General features: G+C 53.5%; 1 long non-coding RNA gene across 1 annotated transcript in view, besides 8 other annotated features; it reads right to left on the bottom strand.

The window, feature by feature from the left end:
* Positions 1-23,994, bottom strand: part of LOC105370906 (uncharacterized) — a 61,603-nt gene that overhangs the window by 22,143 nt on the left and 15,466 nt on the right. The gene's annotated exons all lie outside the window — the stretch shown is intronic.
* Positions 210-928: an enhancer, noted in NCBI's record as "H3K27ac-H3K4me1 hESC enhancer chr15:77899733-77900451 (GRCh37/hg19 assembly coordinates)". NCBI's record gives its function as "activates a minimal SCP1, AML or CMV promoter by ChIP-STARR-seq in naive H9 embryonic stem cells {active_cell/tissue: H9 hESC(naive)}" and the evidence as "EXISTENCE:reporter gene assay evidence [ECO:0000049][PMID:30033119]".
* Positions 210-1,112: a biological region, named in NCBI's record as "Sharpr-MPRA regulatory region 5143".
* Positions 818-1,112: an enhancer, noted in NCBI's record as "tiled region #5143; HepG2 Activating non-DNase unmatched - State 10:DNaseD, and K562 Activating DNase matched - State 8:EnhW". NCBI's record gives its function as "activates a minimal TATA promoter and a strong SV40 promoter by Sharpr-MPRA in HepG2 and K562 cells {active_cell/tissue: HepG2 | K562}" and the evidence as "EXISTENCE:reporter gene assay evidence [ECO:0000049][PMID:27701403]".
* Positions 2,368-3,087: an enhancer, noted in NCBI's record as "H3K4me1 hESC enhancer chr15:77897574-77898293 (GRCh37/hg19 assembly coordinates)". NCBI's record gives its function as "activates a minimal SCP1, AML or CMV promoter by ChIP-STARR-seq in primed H9 embryonic stem cells {active_cell/tissue: H9 hESC(primed)}" and the evidence as "EXISTENCE:reporter gene assay evidence [ECO:0000049][PMID:30033119]".
* Positions 6,709-6,865: a silencer, noted in NCBI's record as "fragment chr15:77893796-77893952 (GRCh37/hg19 assembly coordinates)". NCBI's record gives its function as "represses an EF-1alpha promoter that drives an FKBP-Casp9 reporter gene in an ReSE screen in K562 erythroleukemia cells {active_cell/tissue: K562}" and the evidence as "EXISTENCE:reporter gene assay evidence [ECO:0000049][PMID:32094911]".
* Positions 8,042-8,542: an enhancer, noted in NCBI's record as "H3K4me1 hESC enhancer chr15:77892119-77892619 (GRCh37/hg19 assembly coordinates)". NCBI's record gives its function as "activates a minimal SCP1, AML or CMV promoter by ChIP-STARR-seq in naive H9 embryonic stem cells {active_cell/tissue: H9 hESC(naive)}" and the evidence as "EXISTENCE:reporter gene assay evidence [ECO:0000049][PMID:30033119]".
* Positions 8,138-8,432: an enhancer, noted in NCBI's record as "tiled region #8640; HepG2 Activating non-DNase unmatched - State 10:DNaseD, and K562 Activating DNase unmatched - State 5:Enh". NCBI's record gives its function as "activates a minimal TATA promoter and a strong SV40 promoter by Sharpr-MPRA in HepG2 and K562 cells {active_cell/tissue: HepG2 | K562}" and the evidence as "EXISTENCE:reporter gene assay evidence [ECO:0000049][PMID:27701403]".
* Positions 22,867-23,678: an enhancer, noted in NCBI's record as "H3K4me1 hESC enhancer chr15:77876983-77877794 (GRCh37/hg19 assembly coordinates)". NCBI's record gives its function as "activates a minimal SCP1, AML or CMV promoter by ChIP-STARR-seq in primed H9 embryonic stem cells {active_cell/tissue: H9 hESC(primed)}" and the evidence as "EXISTENCE:reporter gene assay evidence [ECO:0000049][PMID:30033119]".

Here is a 23,994-nt window from a genome sequence, read left to right as displayed (position 1 = left end):
GAGAGATGGTGACTGTCCCAGTGATCTACAGCTGGTAAGGAAAAAGCCAGGACCTGAACCCAAGTTTGCTGTGCAGTCTGAGTCCCTTTCCATAGTGAGGGTACGGGGGAAGTATGGCAATAATCACAATAGCTACTGTTCATTGAGGGTTTGTGCCAGGCCCCAGGCCAGATGCTCTATGTGCCTTCTCTTATTTCATCATCCCAGGAGGAGGGGCTTACAGGCTCCCTTTCAGATGAGAATACTGAGAAGTGACTATCTGCGGCCCACCACCAGCTAGGTGCTGACGTCAGGATTCACACTTAGGGCATCAATACTTCCCTGAAACAAAGCCCCACATTGGGCCCGAACCACTCCAGACTCAGGCTTCTCATCTGTGAAGCAGGCACGGCCTCCTTTCTTTGTGGAAGTTGGGGGAGGAGGGTGTGCTGTGGCCTGGATGGGTGAGCACATGGTGGCGGGGGCGTGCTCTAAGCTTCTGCCAGTCAATTCCCCCATCCTGGCCCCCAACCCACCTGGCATCCCTGTGGGGCCCTGAGACCCAGGCCCCGCAGCCTGCTCTGAGGGACTGGCACGCTAGGCCTGGCCTGGTCCCTGCTGGGCCACTAGGGACCATGGGGCAGGAGTCTAAGAACAGCAACCACATGACACATCCCTAGGAGTACAGGGCCCTCCCCCGGGAGCTCCAGCCTCTGCCTGCCTGAAGGAGCTGATTGCTCAGCCTGGAAAGGGATTTACAGTCTCCCCTTAAGCCTATTATGGCTCGTCCTGTGGCCCCAGCCCAGGCCCTGTCATCCTGCCAAGTGACAGTGCTGGTGTCTGAGAAGGGGCCACGGAGACTGAGGGATGCCCCAGTGCTCGGCCCCAGCTCCTTCCTACCCCAGCCTTCAGGCCAACCCAGGAGGCCTCTCCATGCCCTATATGTGACCCCAGCAGGGACCCAAGGTCTGGCTCTCCCTGTACACCCACTGCCTACGCCCCCTCACTCCCGGTCTGGACTGTGACACAGCCACGTAGACAGCCAATCCTGTGGCTGGGGTGGCAGGATGTTCCGGAGGAACAGAGGAGGAGGAAGCTGGAGGCAGAAGAAAGAGAAAGCCAGGCAAGAGAGAGGATAGGCGGGCCCTGCCCGTGATGCATCCCTCCTGGTTCCTGCGGTCCAAGCTCAGCCCAAAGGCAGCGGTCAGCATGGCCGGCTCCCTGTTCTGCTGATGAGAACCACAAACCTCAGAGAGGCCCAGCCACTGCCCAAGTTGCATGGCTAAGCCATGGAGCCTCAGAAACCACAAAATGCCCTTTGTGTGCGCACATTCTGTAAATGAGGAAACTGAGGTACAGTGAGGGGAAACTGAGGTACAGCATTTTGTGACAGGCCTAAGGTCACAAAACAAGTCAGTCGGCAATAGCACCAGTTCTGACTCAGCTGAATTGGGAGGTGGCCATTTCCATGGCATCCAGAAAACCTTCCTATGGGAAACACAAGGTCAGACTGGCCCCAGGGGGACACCCATTCCCAGGGGCGGGGGCGGCAGCTGGAGGCTCTGACTTCCTGCCTTTGCTGTCTGACTTGCAGACATTTACATAGCTCATTAAAAAATATGGTGTCGTAAAGAGGAGAGAGCCGGCTCGGGAAAGCCTCGTTCCCCCGTTGACTGCCAGACCTCTTGCAGGACACTCCAAGGGCGCAGGGAGCAGACCTGGATGGGAGGAGGTATGCAGCTGCCCCTCCGCAGCACCCAGAGCTGGGGCTGGGGGAAGCTTTTAAGGCATCTGTTTTCCTGGGCTCTGTCCACAGCCCTGTGCCAGGAGGTGGTGTGACCTTGTATAAGACCCTGAGCATCTCTGGACTGACCCCTCCCAAGGGCCTAGGAGAAGCCTACACTAGGTATCTCACATTCTTCCAGCTTCAGGGTTCACCCCAGGCCTCAGTGGTGTCCCCTATCTGACTTCCCTGCCCCCACGCCACTGCCAAAGTGAGGCGGAGTCACAGCCTCTCTAGCAGAATGACCTTTATGGCCCAGCCCTATACCTGGGCCCATAAATCCCTCCCTCCACGCCATGCAGTCTCCTGGAACAGAGCAAGGGGTCTGCTGACCCATCCGCCTGCCCCACCCTGGCCACCCCAGGACCACCTCTTGCCCATTTCCCAAGCGCAGCTCAGTCCAGAGCCAGGATGTCCAAAGCCCCCAGGATCCTTGCCATCAGAACAGTCACTCCCCTCCACCCAGAGGTCACCTTTCTGGAGTCTTCCTGTGTCCTTCTCAGGCAGCCTGCCAACGTCGACCACCTGGGGGGAGTCCTCGCCCCTCTGCCTCACTTTCCCTCTCTGTACAGCCAGAGTTGGGTACAACGGGCTCTGAGATCCCAACCAGACAAGACGGTCTCTGGGGAATAACAAGGTCCTCTGCCCATGGTGAGTCCAGGCAGAGCCCCTAGCTGGGAAGTAGGGACTGTGGCGAAGCCCTGCGGCCAGAAGCGTGAAGCAGGACTGCCTGACCACTGGCTGGCACCTGGCTGGCCAGGAGCCAGGAGGACAGTTGTTCCCTTTCTCCTGCAGGGCAGCTGGAAGGGACAGGGACGCTGGAAGGTTGACGGGCTCCCAGGGTCATCCAGAGGCAGGAGGGACTGCTGGAAGTGTGGGGTAGATGGGGAATTGTTCTGTGTGGAGGCAAAAAGCTGCAGGGGCCAGGACAGCCTGTGATGGGTTCCCAGGTCCCAGCTGTGCCCTCCAGCTGACCTCCAGCCCAACCCCCACAATAGAAAGCTCTCCAAACACTTTTACGGGAAGACAAGGACCACACCCCAGGAGCACCCTGAAGCCATGGAGCCTAGTGTCCCACAGGCAGTGGGGGCGAAGGGATAGTAACCATTCATGTAGAGAGAGGAGATGAAAGGCAGGCACCAGCTTTGCAGGTGTCCCCAGGCCCTCAGCTCCAGTTCCCTGGCTTAGGACGAGGAAAATCTGCTTTGAATATTCCCTCCTTGCCCTTGAAGACTCCCCTATGCCAGAGACAGAATTGCCCCCTCCTTCTGGCTCTTGCTGCTCATGTGGAGTGTAGGATGAGTGTGGGTGGTTAGGGAAGCTGAGGCAGGGTGTTCTGTAGCACACCACCCAGGCAATGGGGAGCTATGGTGGGTGCTTGAGCATGAGAGGGACACATCTCAGAATCTAAGGAGGAAAGATTTGAGGTGTGGGAACAGAGGAGACAGAGGCCAAGGCTTGTTCTTTAGGATGAGTATGCACACCTCTATGCTCACACACACAATGCCCCTTGTGTGCAGGCAAGCACAAGTGGGCACACGGAGGAGCTCACATATGTACAGCCTCACATATTCTCCCACAAAGCCAGGCAGCAATTCGGGTCCACACAAAACCTTTTCACAGGCACCCATACAAGCACAAACCATCAATACACACCAGATAAATAGCTGTTACATTGGAACACTTACACGCGACACTCTCGCCCTTGCATTCACACGAATGCATAGACCCACAGAGCAGCCCCTCCTGCACACACACAGAGGCGCAGACACGCTCGCATGCCCGTCTCCATGCCGCGGCCTCTCTCCTTCCTGGAATCACAGCGCGGCCAGGCTGGCCCCTGGGCTCAGTGCTCACCTCCCCCTCAAACAGACACAGACACACACACACACACACACACACACACACACACACACACACACACACACACACGGACTTGCAGGGGGGCAGCCCCCGGAAGCCTCGCTCCTGCCCTCGGAGCCTCGGCTGGCCAATGAGAGCGCGCCGGGCACTGTCTCCTAGGCGACCAGCTGGAGCTGCCAGGCTACGAGATGGGAGGGGCCAGGGAGGGGCGTGGCCACAGGACCCCTGTCCCACCTCCCGCACCACTCGCGACCCTTGTGCCCTCGACCCTCATTCTCAAAGGGTTAGAATGGGGCTAGGCTGAGGGCAGGAGTGGCAGGGGTACCTCAGAGGCGCCTGATAATGAGCCCAAAATGAATCCCAGAGATGCCCTTCCCTGTGGATGGGCCGGGGACAGGTGCGCATCCTGGCCAGAGGTGAACTGTGTGGCTGCCAGGGGACCTGGCTCAGCCTCCAGGAAGCCTCTGTGACTCAATCCTGTCACCTTCGCAGGATTCTGAAGAGATTACATTGACCTCCTTTCTCTTCCCCAGATGCCCAAGCTCCTTTCCCTCCAGGCCTCACCATGTGTTCCTCCCTCTGCTCGGAAAGTTCCCTACCCTTTCTCCCCCATCTCACACACGCGCACACATACACACACGCTCACTTTTTTTCTGGCAAACTGCAGCTCATGGCATAGGACACACACACACACATATTCAAAATCAGTCCCCTGGTTTAGGGCCTGTGTAAATGGGGACTAGGCACTACCAGTCCTTGAGTTTTTGATCATGTTGAAACACAAGGCATATGTTGAGGTGGAGGCTGGTCAAAGCAGCTAAGTGCACGGCTTTAACAGCATGGGGTCTGGAGCCAGATGACCTGGGTCCAAATCCTGGCTCTGCAACCTACCAGCTGTGTAACTTTGGGCAAGTTGCCCACGTAACATGTAAGGAGTAAGTGAGATCGTTCCCGCAAAGCACTCATCGCAGTGTCTGGTGCAGAGCAAGTGACCAATAAATGTTGGCTTCTACTGTTATTATTCCGGGGAATTCCTCACTCAGCTTCCAGTCCCCAGACTTCATTCAGAACATTCAGAACGGTCGTGGGCCCCTAGACCAGGTGACTCACGGTGAAGGGCAAGCAGGGCATGTCCTTGCCACACAGCCAGACCCATTCCAACACCAGGTGCCCTGTCCAAAAGGGAGACTTGTCTCATTGGGGTAGAAAGTTAGAGTCTGTGGTGACCACCAGTCATAACTGTCTTTGACCACACTGGATGGACAAGCTTATCTGTCTCTCTCTGTAGGAATATTATGGGCAAGCATGATTTCTAACAGGCCCTGTGCTGAGACCCTGCAGGCCTTTTGCAATCTCCAGCTCGTGGCCCATGTACTGCCGCTACGGGCCTCAGAGAGAGCCATCACTGTTCATTCCTCCTGCTCCCACTGGAATGGGAGGCTGTTCCTCACCAGAGTGTGGTCTCAGCTGCAGGAAGGGGCTTTGCTGAGGGTGTCCTCACCGCTCCTTCATTCCACACCCAGTCTGTATCTATACATTTATCCCAGATTGCTCATACCTCACCCATCTTAGAATCTCACTCCTACTTTTCTCTCTGGTTCCTTTCTCCTGACTCTGGGCCAGGTTCTAGCACAGATCAGCTGTCATTCTCTGTGACCCCCATCAGTTTCCCCTCCCTGAGTTTTCCTTTCCCCATCTATAAGATGATGTAATGATTCTTGCTCTGGAACACTGTCTCCCTTCCTCCTTCCCACTTATTCATTGAACACCTACTTTCATTAGTCACTGGCTAGGCATGGGAATATTATGAGGAACAAGGTAGGCAAAGCTCCTGCCCTCAGGGAGCTCACAGTCTGAGAGGGAGACAGATTCCAAAGAGGGGATCACTCAAACAATACACATTTGAAAATTGTGATCAGGGATACCAGTCCCTGGCATTATGAGAAACCATGCCGGATGGCAGAGGAGCAGGCCCTGTGGTTCACCAAATGCTCTTTAGCCTGGATGACAGCGACAGTAACAATGTGAGTAATCATAGCTCCCTGTCTCAGCTTCCAAGCACGCCGTGTGTGTGGACTGTGGGCCCTGCCTCTTCAGCAGCATCTCTCAGGGCCTGGGCCCAAGTGGAGCTGTCCTCAATGGGCAGCCCTGCCTTCCTCTCACACCTGGTCCCCACTCTGGGGACAGGCAAGCAGCAGCCCCCTACTCCCTTACTGCAGCAGGACCTCCACTCTACTCTGTTTTGCATAATTGGTTTCCAGTGAGATCCATTGGAAGTGATTTGGCATACCCAGGTTTATGTCTCTGCTCTGCACTAACCAGCCAGATACCCCGGGGCACGTTACCACACTTCTCTACAAAAGGGGACAATCATTCCCACCTTACAGCGTTGTTGGGAAACTTGTACACAATGCCCATGGAAAGCACCTGACTTGTGGATGTTCCCAATAGGTGCCAGCTGCTGCCCTGTGCTGGGCCCTCCAGGGAATGCAGTGTGGGGCTCTGGGCTGGGACAAGTTTTAGCTTTCAGTGTTCTGTATCCAAAACTATTTGGCTGCAAGGAACAGTGTTTGAAGACATCCTCTAACAGGGAGGTTTCTGTAAGGATAGAGTCTCAGGGAAGCCCAGACCAGCCTGGGGGTTGGGGATGCACTCCCTCTCTCTCCCCTTGGCTCAGCTTCTGGCTGCACATCGGCTCAGGTCACCTGTCCCTCTCTGCAGAAGGAGTGGCTTCCTCTTCTGCCCAAGGTGTCTAACTGAGCACAGTTACCCTAAGATGACAGCCTCAGCTCCCTGGAGCAACTTAGCCTCTGTGTTCAATTCCAAATTCCCAAGAGAAACTACAATGGGCCAGGATTAGGTCGGGTGTCCACCCTTGGTCCAATTAGCTGAAGCAGGACCAGAAGGTCAGGAAAGCCATCTTTTCCATGTTGTGGGAGAGGCCGGATCTTGCAGTAGGAGTGTGGGTAGAGTGAAAATGATGGCTTTCCCTAAACCAGTGGTCCTCAATCCTGGCTGAATGTTGTAATCACCAGGGGAGCTTTAAAACATACGGATATCTAACTCCCGAAGATTCTGATTTCATTGGTGCAGGGTGCTGCCTGGGTAATAAGCGTTTCAAGATCTCCCCGGGTGATTCTATGGTGCAGCTGCCAGGGTACAGACCACTGCTTTAAAGACCTCCTGGTAACTGAGTCCATGCCCCAAATGGCATTCATTCCTCTAGTTTGGTCTTATTTCAGGCCAGGTGAGAGGTTTACCCTCCATGGCCTAAATCAGGGTTTCCTGGCCAGTCACAAGCGAAGATAAAGTCAGAATTCTGATTCCTAGACGTAGTCCAGCTCTTGTGAATCAAAATGTCTGAGAAGGACCCCTGGTGAGTCTTGTCACCAAGTAAGCTGGGGAACACTGGGCTAAGTGGTAGCTTTACCTATCAACACACCTGCCATAAGATCATGGGAGGAAGTCAGCCCAAGTGCAATGAAAACTTCTGGGTAGCCGAACAGGGAGGATGCTAAGTTTTTAGCCAACACTACACAATTGTCATCAACAGAGGCCAACCAGGCCCCTCCGCTTTTTCTGAGAGCAATAGGTGGTAGGAGCAGGCCTGACCTCCCCAGATGTCTGTGCCAAAGAAGAGTGGACGTTTTTGTGTGTGTCTGCACAGAAGGGCCCCTGTTTATGTGAGGTGTTCCTTGCCCTGCCACCCCAAATCATACAACATGAATAGAAACTGCTGTCTTCTTATGAAACCCACTACCCTGGACATGGCCTGGTCTAGGGGAGGGAACCTGACCCAAGCTGGGTCAATCACACCCACATCTCCTTGTTGCTATGCGTGGACAAGGAATTGGCACCTGCCTCAAGTGCTGCTAAACAGAGCCCTTCCCTAGGATAGTTGAACTTGGAACCGGAGCATGTCACTATGAGTTTTTCTCTGCAGCGGGGCTGGGAAAGGTGAGCCTGGGGGCTACCGAGAGCCAAGTCTGCAGGTCACAGAGGATGTGAGGAGGGGCAGAGCTAGGCTAGGGGGAGTCGCTGATTCTGCTTTTCTCTGTGGTCCCCTGAGTCTGGCTTCCAGCAGGTCCCGAGGTCTAGGACCCAACACCTATGGGGCACGGCATAATTAGCGGCTTTGCTATCACATACCACGGATCACAGACTCCCCCCTTCATTCTTTCCCAGCTAACTCTACATCTTATCTGAGGGTCTATTTCTGGTCACCTCAGTCCTGGTGTCAGTCTCTGTCTTAAGGCCAGTTTCAGTGGATTTCTGTCCTTCTCAAACAAAGTGCCCTTTGAATATAAGGTTACAGAGAAATTTTAGGAAGCACAGTTGCAGAATGAACTGCCCAGGCCTCCCTCTCCCAAACTGAAAACCACCTATCTGTGTCTATCTCCACCTGGAGCTGCAGAGTCTCTCCTCTCTCTTCCCTCTGAATGTCTGTTCCCTTCTCCTTCTTGTCCCCTCTTCTCCTTCATTTATCAACTTGAGCTTAGCTGAGCTTGACTACCCCAAAATGGCAGCCCCTGCCGGGAGCCAACACACCTTGTGTTTCAGCTCCCTGCAGCTAACCTAATCTCTGTGCCCTGATTTCAAATTCCCATGAGACGCACTCTGATTGGCTGAGTTGAGTCAAGTGGCCTCAGCCCGGCCCAATCAGCTGGGACTGGGGGAGGGCTGCCGTGGAGAACTAGCTGCCTTCCTGGCTGGGGAGAAGGAAGCAATGACTAGCATAGCAAACTCTGGGGGTAGTGACTTCTACCCTGGAGGCGCCAGAGACTATGGGCCTCAGAAAGGCTCCACCTTATTCACTAGCTCCTGGACACCATCGCTGGAACTCTGGGACATGAGGGACGTTACTTTGGACAGATTTCAATGAAGCCCCACTTCCTCCATGAGAGCTTGTTCTTCAGCAAGTCAAGAAGAGGGTGGGGGTCTCAGCCAGGGGGTCAGCTGGTTCTGCCAGCAGTGCCTAGTGGCTGGCGAGGAGGGATGGGCAGGGGTGACCCTCACCCTCAGCCCCTAGGCAGCAGCTGCAGGCCTGCTTTGCATCCTGTCCAGATACTTCCAGTAAATAAACATTGACGCTTTCGATATCATGTTAATTTCACAGGCGGCTGTTCTGCTGACAGTTTCCACACTCCGCCAGCACCTCTTGTCACTTTTATACTCACAGGCCGACGCCAGCCTTGCTCGCGGGCCGCCCGATGTACAGACATAAAAACAAATGGCTCAGAAAAGCCCTGGCGAAGGGATGGGAATGACATAGGTACCAGGCTGGGGAGAAGCGGTCCTGTCCAGGGTACTAACGTCAACTAGGGCAAGGACCAGGCCACAGGCTTACAATCCACTAGTGTGACCTTGATCAAGCATCTCCACCTTTCTGGGCCGTAGTTTTTGCATCTGTGAAAAGGGTTCATGTTGTAGGAATGCTTCTTTGGGAACCTGGGCAACCCCTGCCTCTTAAAGCCCCTTAAACTTTCCAGGGGAATCCAATCCAAGTAATGATTGTTGCCTGGCTTTGACCTTCAGCACAACCCCTGGAGGCAGTTTAGGCAGCGATTTATCACCATTGTACAGATGAGAAAGTAGAGGCCTAATGCAGGCCAGTGATTTGCTCAGAGTTACAGCAGAGACAGGAGCAGAACCAAGGCAGGAACTGGGGTTCCTGCTCCTTCAACAGCTGTCAGCTGTATAAGCCAGGGTTCTAGGGCCACAGGGGTGGTAGGGCTGGGGACCCTGTCTTGTCCCAAGCATAGTTGAGCCAGCCCCGTGGAGCCTCTGGGCTTCTTCCTAGCATGCACAGTCATGAGGTCTCGTGCATATGCGTGGTTATTCCTATTCTAAGCTGAGCTAGGTGGAACTTTCCAGCTAGCACCTCCTCATCACAGGGGCCCTCCTGTGCTCTAGGACTCCCACTGTCCGCCCTGTTCCTGGGCCTCCGGCTTCCCTCTTACCAGCAGCTCACCAGCAACCCACCCCCAGTCCCATCCCAGCCTCCAGTGGAAGCTAAAAGGGGGGTAGCCAGATGCCAGGTTAACTCCTTTCCTTCTCTGGCCACACCTGCACCCTTCCTCCAGGTGGGAAGCGATGCTTGTGTCCACTGGGCCAGTCCTGCTGCACATCCCGGCACCACATCCCCAAAGGCCGAGGTTGGACCCCAAGAGGGTCCAGGCTGCAGCTAGATCACAAGCGATTGCAGTGACCGCCCACCTCCTTGTCTGCTATTTACTCCCTGAATGAAGGCTTCACTAGCCTAGGATGACATCTGGGAGCACTTCAGCCCAAGGGTGGAGATGGGGGCAGGGGGCCGTATCTCAGCCTCCCAGTGGCTGTCCAGGGAGGCTCAGATGGCCATCTTTTCTGGGAGCAGGGCTCTGGGACGCCCACATGGCACCTCACACCCACGCACTCCTGGCGCCTGCTTCTGCTCAATAAAGACTTGTTAATGGACCAAAGTGAATTAGAGTCATTAACACTGGTATCAGAGACAGGCAGAGGTCGGCGCCTGTCCTCCAGGCCCAACCCACAGTCTGGGAAACTTGGGCAAGGCCTTCACCTTTCTGAGCCTCAGGGCCCTCCCCTGTAAATCAGGGCATAAATGTCCCCCTCAGATGGCTTCTCATCATCTGCAGGCTGCTGAGGTCAGCATTCAAGGCCTCCTGACCCAGCTCCTTTCCATCTCCCTAGGCCCCTCCGCCCCACATACAGATTCATGTGCTCACACAGCCAGCAGGATGCACCAGGCGCCAGTGTGTCTCCAGCCCTCACACACATTGTTCCCTCTAACAGGAAATTCATTTCTTTCTCCCTCACCCTGCCCCCAGACCGCTAAACTCCTGAGCAGACTTCAAACCCCTGTGACACAGTTACCTCCTCCAGGATGGCTTCCCTGACGCGTCCCCACCCCAGCCTGGCTTAGGTGGTCTGCTCAGGGAGGGAGGCTGGAGGGGTCTGTGCGCTTTCTTCTTGCCAAAAACCCTTTGGAGAAAGGACGCCAGAAGGAGCACCTGGAACTACCCTCCATTGCCCGGTCTGAAAGTCCAGCTGGGGAAAGCGCCTACTGTGCGCTGGGGTCTGCCTCCACCCTGGGGTCTGTTTCCCACCCAAGAGAACCACTCATAAGGGAAGTTATGTTTTGGACAAATTTGAAAGAATCTCCAGTTTCGCCATGAGCAGTTGCCCAGGAAAGCTTGTTCTTCAGCAAGCCAAGAAGAGAACAGGGGTCCGGAGCAGGGATCCTGCTTCCCTCTGTCATCTGCAATAGAGCTCTTGCCTATTTTGGTGTCTGCCTCGCCCACCAGGCTGCCCACCCACTGCGTGAAGCCAGAGCCCTGGTCTGTCTCACTCCAGGGCTTGGCGCACAGTAGGCGCTTTCTTTAGCTGGGCTTCCAGAACAGGCAATGAGGGGTAGTTCCAGGTGCTCCTTCTGGCACCCTTTCTCCAAAAGGTTTTCAGCAAGAGGGAAGGGCACAGCCCTCTCCAGCTCCCTCCCCACCCCCCACCCTGTCCCTGCTCAGCACCTTTAGAATCACTTAATTTTTACAGATTTTTCCTCCTTAACTACAGCCCATATAACAATAAATAAACTGGAGGGAGGAAGGGAGGGAGGGAGGGGAAGAAGTACAAGAAAGCTGCCAATCTCTTGTTGCCACATTTCAGGAGCTCTGAGCCAGGACAAAAGGAGGTGGGAGGGAGGAACAGAGGCTTTCAGGCTGGAGAACAGCTCACTCTCTCAATCTCTTGCTGTCTTTCTTGCAGGTACTATGACCCTCCTCCCCTAAACCATCACCGCCCAACCCCTAAGTGCTAAGACATGATGCACTGGGTCCTCTCCAGGTCACAGAGAACTTCTTGACCGTACTAAGCAAATAGAAACTGCCTAGGCCTCTCCCTTCTCTGGTTCCTGGGGAGGGAATTATCTCCTAAATAATCAATGACAATGGCCATTTTTGAGGGTCTTTTATCTGCCAGGCAGTTCGCTCACCCACTACTTCTGACCCTCACCCTAAGCCATTCTGCAGAGGAGGAAACTGAGGCCCAAAAGATTAAGTGATCTCCCCTTATGAGGGGGTCTGATTGCAAAGTCTGCACTGCTCACAAAATCATACAGCGTCCCACATGAGCAAGCCTCCCTTGTGGGAGGGATCAATACCCCACCCGTGGTTGGAGCACCTCTTGGGGGTTTCGCACCATTATTTCTGATGCCCAGCAAGAGAAACACATTTTCTCTTTCTTTTTTTTTTTTTTCTTTTTTTTTGAGACAGAGTCTCACTCTATCCCTTAGGCTAGAGTGCCATGGGATGATCTCGGCTCACTGCAGCCTATGCCTCCTGGGTTCAAGCCATTCTCCCGCCTCAGCCTCTGGAGTAGCTGGGATTACAGATGCCCACCACCACGCCCAGGTAATTTTTGTATTTTTAGTAGAGACGGGATTTTGCCATGTTGGCCAGGCTGGTCTCAACTACTGACCTCAGGTGATCCTCCCACCTCGGCCTCCCAAAGTACTGGGACCACAGGCGTGAGCCACCGCGCCCAGCCCTCTTCCTTTTTTCTCTCTGGCCCATGTATAGACAAGGCAAAGCCACTGAAGTCCTTTCCCTCTTTTTCACTGCACAAGCTGGATGGGTGGAACTTTATTGCAAAGGATGTAAAACCTAAACACAAAGTAGCCCCCCACCGCCTTAAAAAACCCAAAACAAAAAAAGAAAACTCATATTTTTTAAAGCATGTAGTCATGATGGCCAAGTCCTGACTTCTAATCCGTCAAAGCCACAGCACCCTCCATGGGACAGGCAGAACCTAGTGTCCACTAGGCCTGGCTCTGGGGTTCTGAGTCACTTTTCCTGTCACTGACAGACTCTCTGGAGAAGAAGTGGACGCTGAAGAATAAACCACCCAAATCCCAGCCTCCCCAGGCCGAGGCTGATTCCCTCTGAACATCAAGAGCCCTGTCCCTCAGAGGACTCTGGACTTCTCTGGTTTAAGGAGTGGTGAATTCCTGTCTACTTCCCCTACCCCCAAGGCTCTTGGCAACAGGAATGGACTGTGGTGGCTTTGGCCTCTAGAAGGATGGGAGGAGGCAGCACGCTGCCCTGAGTGTGTTCCTGCCTCTGCCCCTGGCCCATGGGCTCTACCCAATGTTCAACTGTGTGGCAGGGCTCACAGGAAAAGGCACATCTCTGCTCTCGGGAGCAGCCAGGCCGGCTGGGGAGGCAGCAGCTAGGGCAGGAACAAAAGGCAGCCATGCAAGGTTTGGCAATGCATTCATTCATTCATTCATTCATTCATTCATTGAATGTTTATTGAATACCTACTGTGTGCCCAGCAGTGCACTTACTGCTGTAGGCATTGGGGACATCTTGAAGAACAAAAATGACAAAAGTTCCTGCCTTTGTCGATCTTGTAATCTCACATAGAAGTGGTATATATTTTTTGTAAAGTGCCGGATAGTAAATATTTTAGGCTTTGTAGGCTACATACTGCCTTGGTTGCATATTTATCTTTGTTTATTTTCTTACGACCATTTAAGAATGTAGTAATTAGCTGGGCATGGTGGCTCATGCCTGTAATCCCAGCACTTTGAAAGGCCAAGGCGGGGGAATTGCTTGAGCCCAGGGGTTCAAGACCAGCCTAGGCAACATACTGAGGCCCCATCTCTACTAAAAATAAAAAAAATTAGCCAGGCATGACGGTGGGCATCTGTAGTCCTAGCTACTCAGGAAGCTGAGGTGAGAGGATTGTTTGAGCCCAGGAGGCTGAGGTTGCAGTGAGCCATGATCCTACCACTGCACTCCAGCCTGGGCAGAAGAGCAAGACTCTGTTCCAAAAAAAAAAGAAGAATGTAATAACTATTCTTAGTTTGTGGGCTGCACAAAAACAGGCTGCTGTGTGAAGCTGGCCCACAGTTTGCCAACCCCTGGTCTAGAGCAATGCTGTCCATTAGAAAAATAATGCTAGCGACGTATTTAATTTTAAATTTCTAGTAGCCACATTAAAAAAGCAAAATTAAATAGAATTAATTTTTGTAAAATCATTTATTTAAACCAATATATCTATAATATTATCACCTCAACATGTATGTAATATTTTTAAATTAAGATATTTTACTTTTTTGTACTAAATCACAACCAGATTTTGAAGATTTATCAAAAGTATTTTATACTTACGGCATATCGTCACTGGGACTAGCAACATTTCAAGTGATCAAACATGTGGCCAGTGGCTACAATAGCGGACAACACAGGTTTCATAGGAGGAATAGATAATAAACAAGATAAGTAAGTAAAATACATCAAATATGTGAAATTGGTAACTGCTGTGAGGGAAAATAAAGAAGGGGGATAGGGAGTGTTGTTTAAGAGTCACTTTGACTCCTGGGTGGCCCCCTTGGTCTGGGAACTTCATTCAGGGCCAAGGATCTTGTAATTCCCAGGGAAGCAGGAAGAAAGTCTGCACACTGTGGAACCTTATAGTGGACGAGAACTGACAGATGGCATCCTGCGCAGGCCCTGCCCAGGGCATGGGATGTCTTTCCAGCCCCTTGACAGATGCCCGTCCAGCCTCTACTTATTCACCCCTCAGTGGGAGCTCACTGCCCCGCTAGGCAGCCCCTTCCTCTCAGCTGGTGTCTCTGATTTCACCCCTTCCTCCTTCTTGACTTTGCACCAGGAGTGATATATTTTTTCTCAATTTTTTTATGGTAGTAAAATACACACAACGTGCAATGTACTAGCTCAACCATTTTTAAGTGTACAGTTTGGTGGTATTGAGTACACTCATCATTGGAGCAATATTTTTGTTTTTTTTGCTTTGTTTTGTTTTGTTTTTTGAGACGGAGCCTCGCTCTGTCACCCAGGCTGGAGTACAATGGTGCAATCTCAGCTCACTGCAAGCTCCACCTCCTGGGTTCACGCCATTCTCCTGCCTCAGCCTCCCAAGTAGCTGGGACTACAGGCACACGCTGCCATGCCCAGCTAATTTTTTGTATTTTTAGTAGATACAGGGTTTCACCGTGTTAGCCAGGATGGTCTCGATCTCCTGACCTCGTGATCCACGCACCTCGGCCTCCCAAAGTGCCGGGATTACAGGCGTGAGACACCGCGCCCAGCCTGGAGCAATATTTTTGTTTTGTTTGGTTTGGTTTTGAGACAGGGGTTCAATCCCGTCACCCAGGCTGGAGTGCAGTGGTGTGATCTCGGCTCACTGCAACCTCTGCCTCCTGGGCTCAAGTGATTCTCCTGCCTCAGCCTCCTGAGTAGCTGGGATTACAGGCGCCTGCCACCGTGCCTGGCTAATTTTTGTGTTTTTTGTAGAGATGGGGTTTCACCACGTTGGCCAGGCTGGTCTTAAACTCCTGAGCTCAAGTAATCCACCTGCCTCAGCCTCCCAAAGTGCTGGGATTACAGGCATGAGCCACCACATCCGGACTAGAGTGATATTTTTTTAAAAGAAATATTTTCATGTTAAAATTCTTCAATGGTTCCCCATTGCTCTTAAGGTGAAGTCCAAAGTCCTCACCACAGTCTACACAGATGCATCAGTCAGGAAGCTTTGGGCTGCAAGTAACACAATGTCCAGGTGCTACTGGCTTACACCATAAAGAAACATATTGGCTCACAAAACACGAATGCTTAAGTAGGTGGGCCTCAGGGCTGGTTGATTCAGCAGCTCAAAGATGTAATTCCTCCTTACCTATCGTTGGCCAGAATTGGGTCACATGCCTATTCCTGAACCAATCACTGGTTAGGGAATAGAATCACCAATTTGGCAACATGGCCTCCCATGATCATAGGTCAGTTTTCCAAACTGCATTGTTGGGGGAAGGCCGGGGAGGATGTTGTGATGCCCATTGTGTCCACTGTATGCCCCTGGTGATGGGTTTGCCTCATGCCTCCAGCTCCACCCCACCACTCCCTGCCTAAGTCTCCCTGATCCAGCCTCCTCTGGCCCACCAAAGTGCCCCCCTTTGCCTCTGAGTCTTCACACATGCTGTTCCATCTCCTTGGAATGCTTTTCCCATCCTCTGCCTCCCTCCCTGCCTTTACTTGGCTACCTTCTCTTGTCCCCTGAGCCTCATGTCATTTCCTCAGGAAGACCATCCTGGTCCCCCAATCAGCTCGAGGGTTCCATGAAAAAGGACAGGGACCACAGCTGACTCACTTCCCAGTGCCTAGAGCAGAACCTGTGCAGAGTAGGCACTCGATAAATACTTGTTGAATTGGACTGTCTTTGGGCACAAGTCCCAGATCTGCCTCTGACCTTGGACATGACCTTGGCCAGGTCATGGGCTTTTCTCCAGGCCTGATCTGGGTTTGGGATGGTAGGTGGATGGGTGTGCTAGGCACTGAGGCAGGCAAGCAAACCCAGCTGTGTGTGGCCAAGGGCCACTGGCTGCGCCTCTGTCCAAGACAGGGCCTGTGATGCCCGCAGAGCTCATGCAGAGTCCGGGCCTCCCCAGCAGGGACAGCTCCGAGGCTCTAAGCGAGTGGGAGGCAGGGAAAAAGCAGGATTGAAATTCCATCAGGCGCTCACCGAGCCTGCTCCCTGGAGCCCCCACGCCTTTGTTCCATTTAATCAATATGTAATTAAACTGAAATCCCAGCTTAAGAATTTCCAGCGGTGCTAAGACCAGGCTTTCAGAGGGTCTGGCAGAGCCGAGGCTCCTGGGTCCTCCAGCTATTAGCCCCTCACCAGCCTGGCCTGCCTCCACCTGCCGGGCCTCAAGGTCACCTTCTCCAGCTGGCCAGGCCAGCACAGGACTCCAGTCTTCCACTCAGCTTCCCAGGAGAAGACACATGCTCCGTGGATCCCCCCGCCGACCCTGGGCTACCGGGGCTCTGGTCATACTCATGTGAATGGGAAACACTGAGACTCAAGCCTGCCTGCCCCAGCCACCACCTTCTATCTCCTCCCTCCTTAGAGTGACCCAGACAAGCTCACCAACGCCGCCAGCTATGTGTGCTGAATGCTTGCTGTGTGCCAGAGGCGTTCTGACTTCTCTACCCGCATTAACCCATCTGATCCTCACAACAACCCCGTGAGGGAGGCACTACTATTAACTGCAGTTTAACAGAAGGAAACTGAGGCACAGAGCACCAAGGGCCACCTGCTAGTTGACAGTGGAGCTAGGACTTGAACTCTGGACCTGCTTGCTCCAGAGCCATTATGCACAAGGGCCCTAGTATGTTGGGACCTCGCTAAGGGCTGCCTTGGAGGGCACAGGCTCCTCGACACCCCCTCACCAGGAGCGGGCAGAGCCCTCAAGCCCCTCCTCCGGCAACTCTGCCACACCTGCCACGTGGCCTCCACACACCCCAGAACTTGCTCTCAGGAAACAGGCAGAAACTCTGCTGGGGTTCACAGGATCAACACCAAAAGGTCCCAGTGATCCTGCAGGCAGCGCTGCGTTCAGGGAAGTCTGAAACTCTGCCCTTAGACCAACACAGGCCCAGAGAAATATAACATGAGCCACACACAAAAGGCACATATGGAAGCTAAACTTTCTAGTAACCACATTTAAAAAAGAAGTGCAATGAATTTTAAAATATATTTCACTTAACCCAGTATATCCAAACTATCATCGTTTCAACAATAGGTATTAAATATTATTAATGAGATCTTTTATGTGTTTGATTGCTCTGCACTTCTGAGATCCAGGACGTATTTGTGGTTTTTTGTTTGTTTGTTTGTTTGTTTTTGAGATGGAGTCTTGCTCTGTCACCCAGGCTGGAGTGCAGTGACGCAATCTCGGCTCACTGCAATCTCCACCTCCTGGGTTCAAGCGATTCTCCTGCCTCAGCCTCAGGAGAAGCTGGGATTACAGGCGCCCGCCACCATGCCCAGCTAATTTTTGTATTTTTAGTAGAGATGAGGTTCTACCACGTTGGCCAGGCTGGTTTCAAACTCCTGACCTCAGGTGATCCGCCTGCCTTGGCCTCCCAAAGTGCTGGGTTTACAGGCGTATTTGTGCATTTTATGTTCATCGCCCATCTGGATTCAGATGAGGCATATTTTAAGTGCTCCATAGCCACATGCGTCTAATATGGGTGGCTCCCCTATTAGACAATGCAGCTGTAGAGAGTAGCACCCTGTGTTCTGTTAAAATGCTCTGGGAAAGGAGAAGTTGGGATTCCTGCTTTCAGGGCACTCTGAACTCACTCAAGCAGGGGATCTGTGGGAGAAAATCCTCAGGGTAGAATGTAAGGTAACAGGTGCATTCCCTGCTGCCTTTGGGGGTTTCTGGGAAGGGGAGCGCACAGGAGTTAGAGCCTGGAAAATCTGGCTTTGGGGGTCTAGGCACGTAAGGGGGATGGGGGAGCAGGCAGGAGGAGGCCGAGTCCCTCGCAAACCCATCCCCTGCTCACTCTTCTCTCCCTGTCCCTAGCAGATGCCGCACCGAGACTTGGGGGTCTCTGTAGGGGAGAAGAGGTAGCCAAGCTGGAGGCAGCCCTGGCCCTCTCCCCAGAGTGTTGGAGAACCCAGGCACAGGTGAGCAGAGAGTAGGTGTCCCCGATGCAGGCCCCCTCACCCCTCCTGCCCCTGTGCCCTTGGCAGGCAGGGAAAGCTGCCCTGGGCTGAGTCGCTCCTCACTCCTCGTAACAAGCGTGCTATTGTCTTAATCCCCCTCAGAGTCTGGCACAAGCCCAAGGCCAGTTCCCAACAGGCCTGGCCTGGCCCAGTCCAGGGAAAGGAGGAAAATGGCTCTGTCCCTTCAGCAAGCAGAGGCCACACTTTCCAAACAAATCAGTGCTTCACCTTCAGAAACATCAGAAGCTCAAAGGCAACACAATCAACATCTTACAGTGACTGCCCCCATGCCCTGAATCAAGCCCAGGGAAGTACGCCGTGCACCCCCCCACCGCCCCCCGCCGACCCCTGGGCACAAGCCAGCAAGACAGAGCTGCTGGAGCCTCAAGAGTTGGGAAGCCTCACTCTTGTACTCTTCCAATCTGTTCTTGGAATCTTCCACTCCTTAGAATTATCAGCACATCTGGCCAGGCATGGTGGTTCACACCTGTGATCCCAGCATTTTGGGAGGCCGAGGCAGGCGGATCACCTGGGATCAGGAGTTCAAGACCGGCCTGGCCAACATGGTGAATCCCCATCTCTACTAAAAATACAAAAATTAGCTGGGCGTGGTGGTGCATGCCTGTAATCCCAGCTGCTCGGAAGGCTGAGGCAGGAGAATCGCTTGAGCCTGGGAGGCAGAGGTTGCAGTGAGCTGAGATCGCGCCACTGCACTCCATCCAGCCTGGGCGACAAGAGTGAGACTCAGTCTCAAAAAAAAACCAAACAAACAGAATTACTGTCACGTCTTAGATCTTTCCAATTTAGGTGTTGCAAAGATGCCTGGAACTAAAGTGTATAAGTACATCAGTCCCTTAGAAACGTGTCGTTTGAAGAGCTCCCACCTGAGCTGGACTAACGTGCTGCCCTCGCCTCCCTCTCCCCTGCTGCCTCTGCAGGGGGCTCAACTATAGCTGAAGTGATCTGCCTGGATCTGGGGCCATCCCAGGACTTCCCATCCAAATGGGCTGTAGTTGGGACCTATTTCCTTTGCACGCCTTTGACATGTGCCTTTGTGAATGTCTGACTTCTCAGCCCTGGGACCTGGGGTGCTGTAGTGAGGACTCCACAGCTGCTCATGCCCCGGCTCCCACACTCCCTTTGTCCTGGGCTTAGTTTCCTGTCACAACCCCATTACCCAGCCTCTTGGCCTTGGTGCACTCCCATTCCTTAGAGGAGGGGGGCTCCTGGAAATTCTCCTTGTCATTCCTGATGTCCAGGAGGGGCTGCTCCAAAACACCCTAGAAATGTGACAGATTGTCTCCCAGCTAACCCAGAAGAAGACAGCAAAGGAGCAGTGAGTTCCTTCAGCCAGCGCCCAGAAGAAGCTGGCAGCCAGGCACCCACTCTCCAAGAGTGAAGGGCACATAGCTGGCAGGACAGCCTCCCTGACCAGCCCTGCTCTTTGCCGACATAGCCTCGTAGGTCAAGTTTTGGGGCCAGGAAGGAAGAGTACCCCTCCTTCCCCACGTAGTTTACAAAATCTGCTTAAGACGCATTCCAGGGAGCCATCCAGGACCTCAGTAACCGGCCTGAGCTGGCCCCAGACAAAGACTAGAATTAGGTTGGGGAGGCCAGGCCAGCCATCCTGGGGTTTCTGAGCAGACACATCTGTCCAGCATCCATCCCCACTCCTCCCCGTCCCCAGGTAATGTAGTAAGTGGATGGCAGAGCCAGGGCTAGAAATGGGTCCCAGCTGGAGGGGCAGGCGCGGGGGGAACTCAGACAGCTGGAGAGGAGTCAACGGGGGTGCCCCTGGGCGGGCAACTGGGCGCCTAAGTGCCAAGTAAGGGCACCTGAGAAGCCGCGTGTCCTCTGTCCTCCTGGTCCTTCTGGGACGTGGGCATCCCAGGTGGACTCCATCAGGGGATCCAGGACCAGAACCTACACACCACCCTGGGACTTTGACCCTGAGGGAGGCCAGGGGCTGGGCCCGGGGACATTAGCCCGGAAGCAGGCAGCAGCAGTCTGACCAGGCCACTTCGATCTTCTCTGGCCTGGTCAGATTCCGGTGGAGATGCTGACACAGTCCTGGAGTCTTTTTAAAAGGATGCTATCTGTGGAAGCACCCGGAACCTTGCTTGGAGTATAGGAGCTCAGCTCAGTGCACTCTTCCTGAATCCAGACCTGTAGGCCTTTGGGATCCAGTGCAAGCACCCAGCGGGAGAGTGGCCAGAATGGGACCCCAGTGAGCAAACGGCACAGAACAAATGGGTAGGGCAGTGGGGCCAGAGCTGTGACAATGACCCTGCTCAAAATGACCAGCCCCAGGCTAGGCCGATCTGGCTGGATCATACTTGTACTGAGCAGGGCAAGAGGGCCCCAGCCAGTTCTGAGCTGGGTAGGGGACGGGCCAGATCGATCTTTCTTGATTGGAGCCACCAGAAAACTACCGGGGCCAAAAGAAACCTCTTTCCTGGGGACGTCCCTGCAGGCTGCTCCCCTCCTGGCCTCCCTCCCTCCTAGCTCACGCCAACCTTTAAGGATGATCTATGGGCTGCACGTGGAGAAAGGGCAAGTTGAGACTGAAGAGAGAGCTAAGAAAATGTGACGACAGTTCAGCTCCCAAGGGGCAGGTAAGAGCGGGAGGCTGGCTCAGGGGCGTGACAGCCATGGTGATTAGAGTCCTCCCCAGCCTCCTCCCCTCCCACCCCCGCCAGGACCCTCCTTTGGAGCAGGTGGCAAAGGCTCTTGGGCCCCTGTTACAAAGGCATAGCCAGGGGATCTAGCCCCTGCTTTTGGAGCCAGCCTTCTCTGGCCTGAAGCCCCATCTCCCAGCTCTTAATTAATCTTTCAGCTGCCTCTTAAATAGCACCTGTAGTTACCAGAGCAGGCAGGATGAGAGGAGGGGTCAATGGAGCAGGGTTGGTGTGTGGAGGTGATTTTCAGATTCAAGGGCCAGTAGGTGCCTGGAGACCCTGGGAAGCACACAGCATCGCTGAGAGCCCCAGGGCCTTAGCACGTCAGCATCTGGGAGGCATGGGTGTCATGCGCAGCTGAAAACGAGCCCTCCACTTTAGCCCAGAGATTCCCAAACTGCAGTCATTCAAGGCCCATCTCATGATTTTTGCCAAACCATCACACAATCTATATTATTGTTTTTTTGGAGACGGTGTCTTGCTCTGTCGCCAGGCTGGAGGGCAGTGGTGCAATCTCAGCTCACAGCATCCTCCACCTCCCAGGTTCAAGTGATTCTTCTGCCTCAGCCTCCTGAGTAGCTGGGACTGCAGGCATATACCACTATGCCTGGCTAATTTTTGTATGTTTAGTAGAGACGGGGTTTCACCATATCGGCCAGGCTAGTCTCGATCTCCTGACCTCGTGATCCGCCCGCCCCGGCCTCCCAAAGTGCTGGGATTACAGGTGTGAGCCACCTTGCCCGGCTGATCTATATTATTCTTTAAATCAACTTATTTATCTAGAAAGTTTATTTTAAAAGGCACTTTTCTCTTAGTACCCAAAACCCGGTCTCAATTTTCACAAATAGAAGGCAATGTAAAACCAAAGACAATAAAAGTAATAGAAACAAAACCACATTTTAAAATATTAACTGGACAGAGAAGCCAGGAGTCTTTGAGTGTCTGGTCATTTTTGGTTAAGGTGAGAAGGTTTGCAAAAGTTGGAGGTGCTGAAGGCCTACCAGCACCAACTAGAGACGTTCTCAATGTTTCCAGAAGGCTTGAAACCAACTGAAAACAGCGTAACGTTCTAACCAGGTGATGCTTTGATGACGTGATGGCGTGTCCGCGTGTGACCCAGAATCACCTCGCTACCACCAGTCATCACCTGGTCCTCCACTTTCATTCTTCCCACCTGGACTGCCATCATCTCTCGCCAAGGTTATTACAGCGGCCTCCTCATAGTCTCCCTGCCTCCACTCCTGTCTCTTCCCCACAGTGCAGAGCAATTTGTTAAAACAAATCAGGTTCCATCACTCCTCTCCCCAAAACTGCAAGTGGCTCCCACCTGGCTCAGAAAAAGCCAAAGTCCTCCCATGACCATGAGACCCCATTTCTTCTTCAATGGCTCCTCCTGACACTTCCCAGCTCCCTCCACTCCAGTCCCCAGACTGCTGCCACGAGCCCACCGGGGCCTGGGCATCTGCTATCTCCTTTGCGTGGTTGGTTTTCCCCGGGGTCTCTTCCCTCCCCTCCTTCAGGTTTCTGCTCAAACGTCACCTTGGTGCGGCCCTTCCTATCACCCTAAAATGCCGCTCCCCCTCCCAGCCACTATGACTGAGAGTCTCCTTCCCGACCTCTTTTTCTCCTTAACATTGATCAACATCTAACAGATCATTGATTTTACTTATTGATCTGATTTATTGACTATTCCCCACTAGCTCACAAACTTCATGAGGGTGGGGATTTATGTCTGTTTTGTACCTAGAAAGTGCTCCGCAAATTTGTGTTGAATGGAAGAGCGAACCGTATGCCCTCATCAGCCATGGGAAGCAGATTTTGCTATTACTGTTCCTATATTGCAGATGAGAAAATTAAGGCCAAGGTCACAAACCAGTAAGTAGCAGAGTGAGGATGTGGAGACAGACTTCAAACCTTGTGCTCTTTCCAAAATGTCACTGAGTTCAGGCCCTTTGTGTTGTAGAGAGAGAGATGGAGACGTCAGGATAGAACAGACTGGGAGGGAGGACTCCTGTCCTTCATTTGAAAGATATTACAAACTCACTGCAAAGCTGCCCCCATAGGTGACAGGCCCAGGGTCTCCTCACTACTCCGCCCTCCTCTGGGGGTACACATACCCCAAGGACCTGGAGTGGAGGAGCCCCTCTCATGCCCTGCCCCTCCCCGCAGCTGCTTTTTTCTCACAGCCCCCACCTCCACCCCACCACCCTGCTCTCTCCCCCAGCCTGCCCCTTCAGTCCTGTACACCCAAAGCCACCTCTAAGGCTCCTGCCACTTGCAGGGGGATGGCCCTGGCAGAGCCCAAGGCCACCTTGCCACAGAACTGGGAGACTCCCTTCTGGCAGAAAGGGCTTTTCGCTGAAATTGCAAAGGAGAGTGGCACCAACGCTCCAATAATCACAGCAAGCGCCAAATTGTTGTTTCCACGATTCACGTCTTTTCCTCTCAGCAGCGCCCTTGGGCTGGTAATGGGAAAGGCATTCCTTCACCCCCAGCCAAGTGACCATGCCCTTGTCCTGGGCTTCCAGAGCATGGCCAGCGCCCTCATTCACTCCAGGAGCCGGTCCTTGTCCCAAGCATCTGCCGGGGGCCACACTGGGGCCGGGTCCCTGTTCTCACCTCCCCGGAGCTCACAGCCTCCTGGGGCCTCGCAGTCTGGTGAGTTCTCAGATGTTGCACGAGGGTGTGGGAGCCAGAGGGGACCCCCCTCCCAGGAGTCCAGACTTTGTCCTGAGGGAAATGGGGACCCCTGAGGAAGGCATGAGATCAGAGCCCAGGGTTTGCTTTTGTGAGACTGAAAATGTCCTCTCCCCAAGAGACACAGTCCCAGCAGGCAACTACCACATGCATGACGGTCTTAGGCTGGGTTCCCCAGAAGTAGACCCCAAGTCAAGGGTTAGAGTGCAGGTAATTTATTTGGGAAGTGACCCCAGGAAGCAATGGGAGGGGAGGGGGAAGTGAGACAGAGAAGGGACAGAAGCCAGTACAGGGTGCATTCATGAGAAGGCGACTGCTATGGCCACGGGAGTTTAGTCTCACTGGGGGCCTCAGAGGGGCAGCAAAGAGCACACCTCCGAGCTGCCCTATGCACTGGGAGAGCAGGCTGGAGTATTTGTCCACCACCTCCCTGTGCCTCGGTTGAGGTTGCTTCCTGGAGTG

This window comes from Homo sapiens, chromosome 15 (genome assembly GCF_000001405.40).
Source record: "Homo sapiens chromosome 15, GRCh38.p14 Primary Assembly".
Classification (NCBI taxonomy): Eukaryota; Metazoa; Chordata; class Mammalia; order Primates; family Hominidae; genus Homo; species Homo sapiens.
The sequence above is the reverse complement of the archived record's forward strand: the minus strand, read 5'-3'. Positions and strand labels throughout refer to the sequence as shown.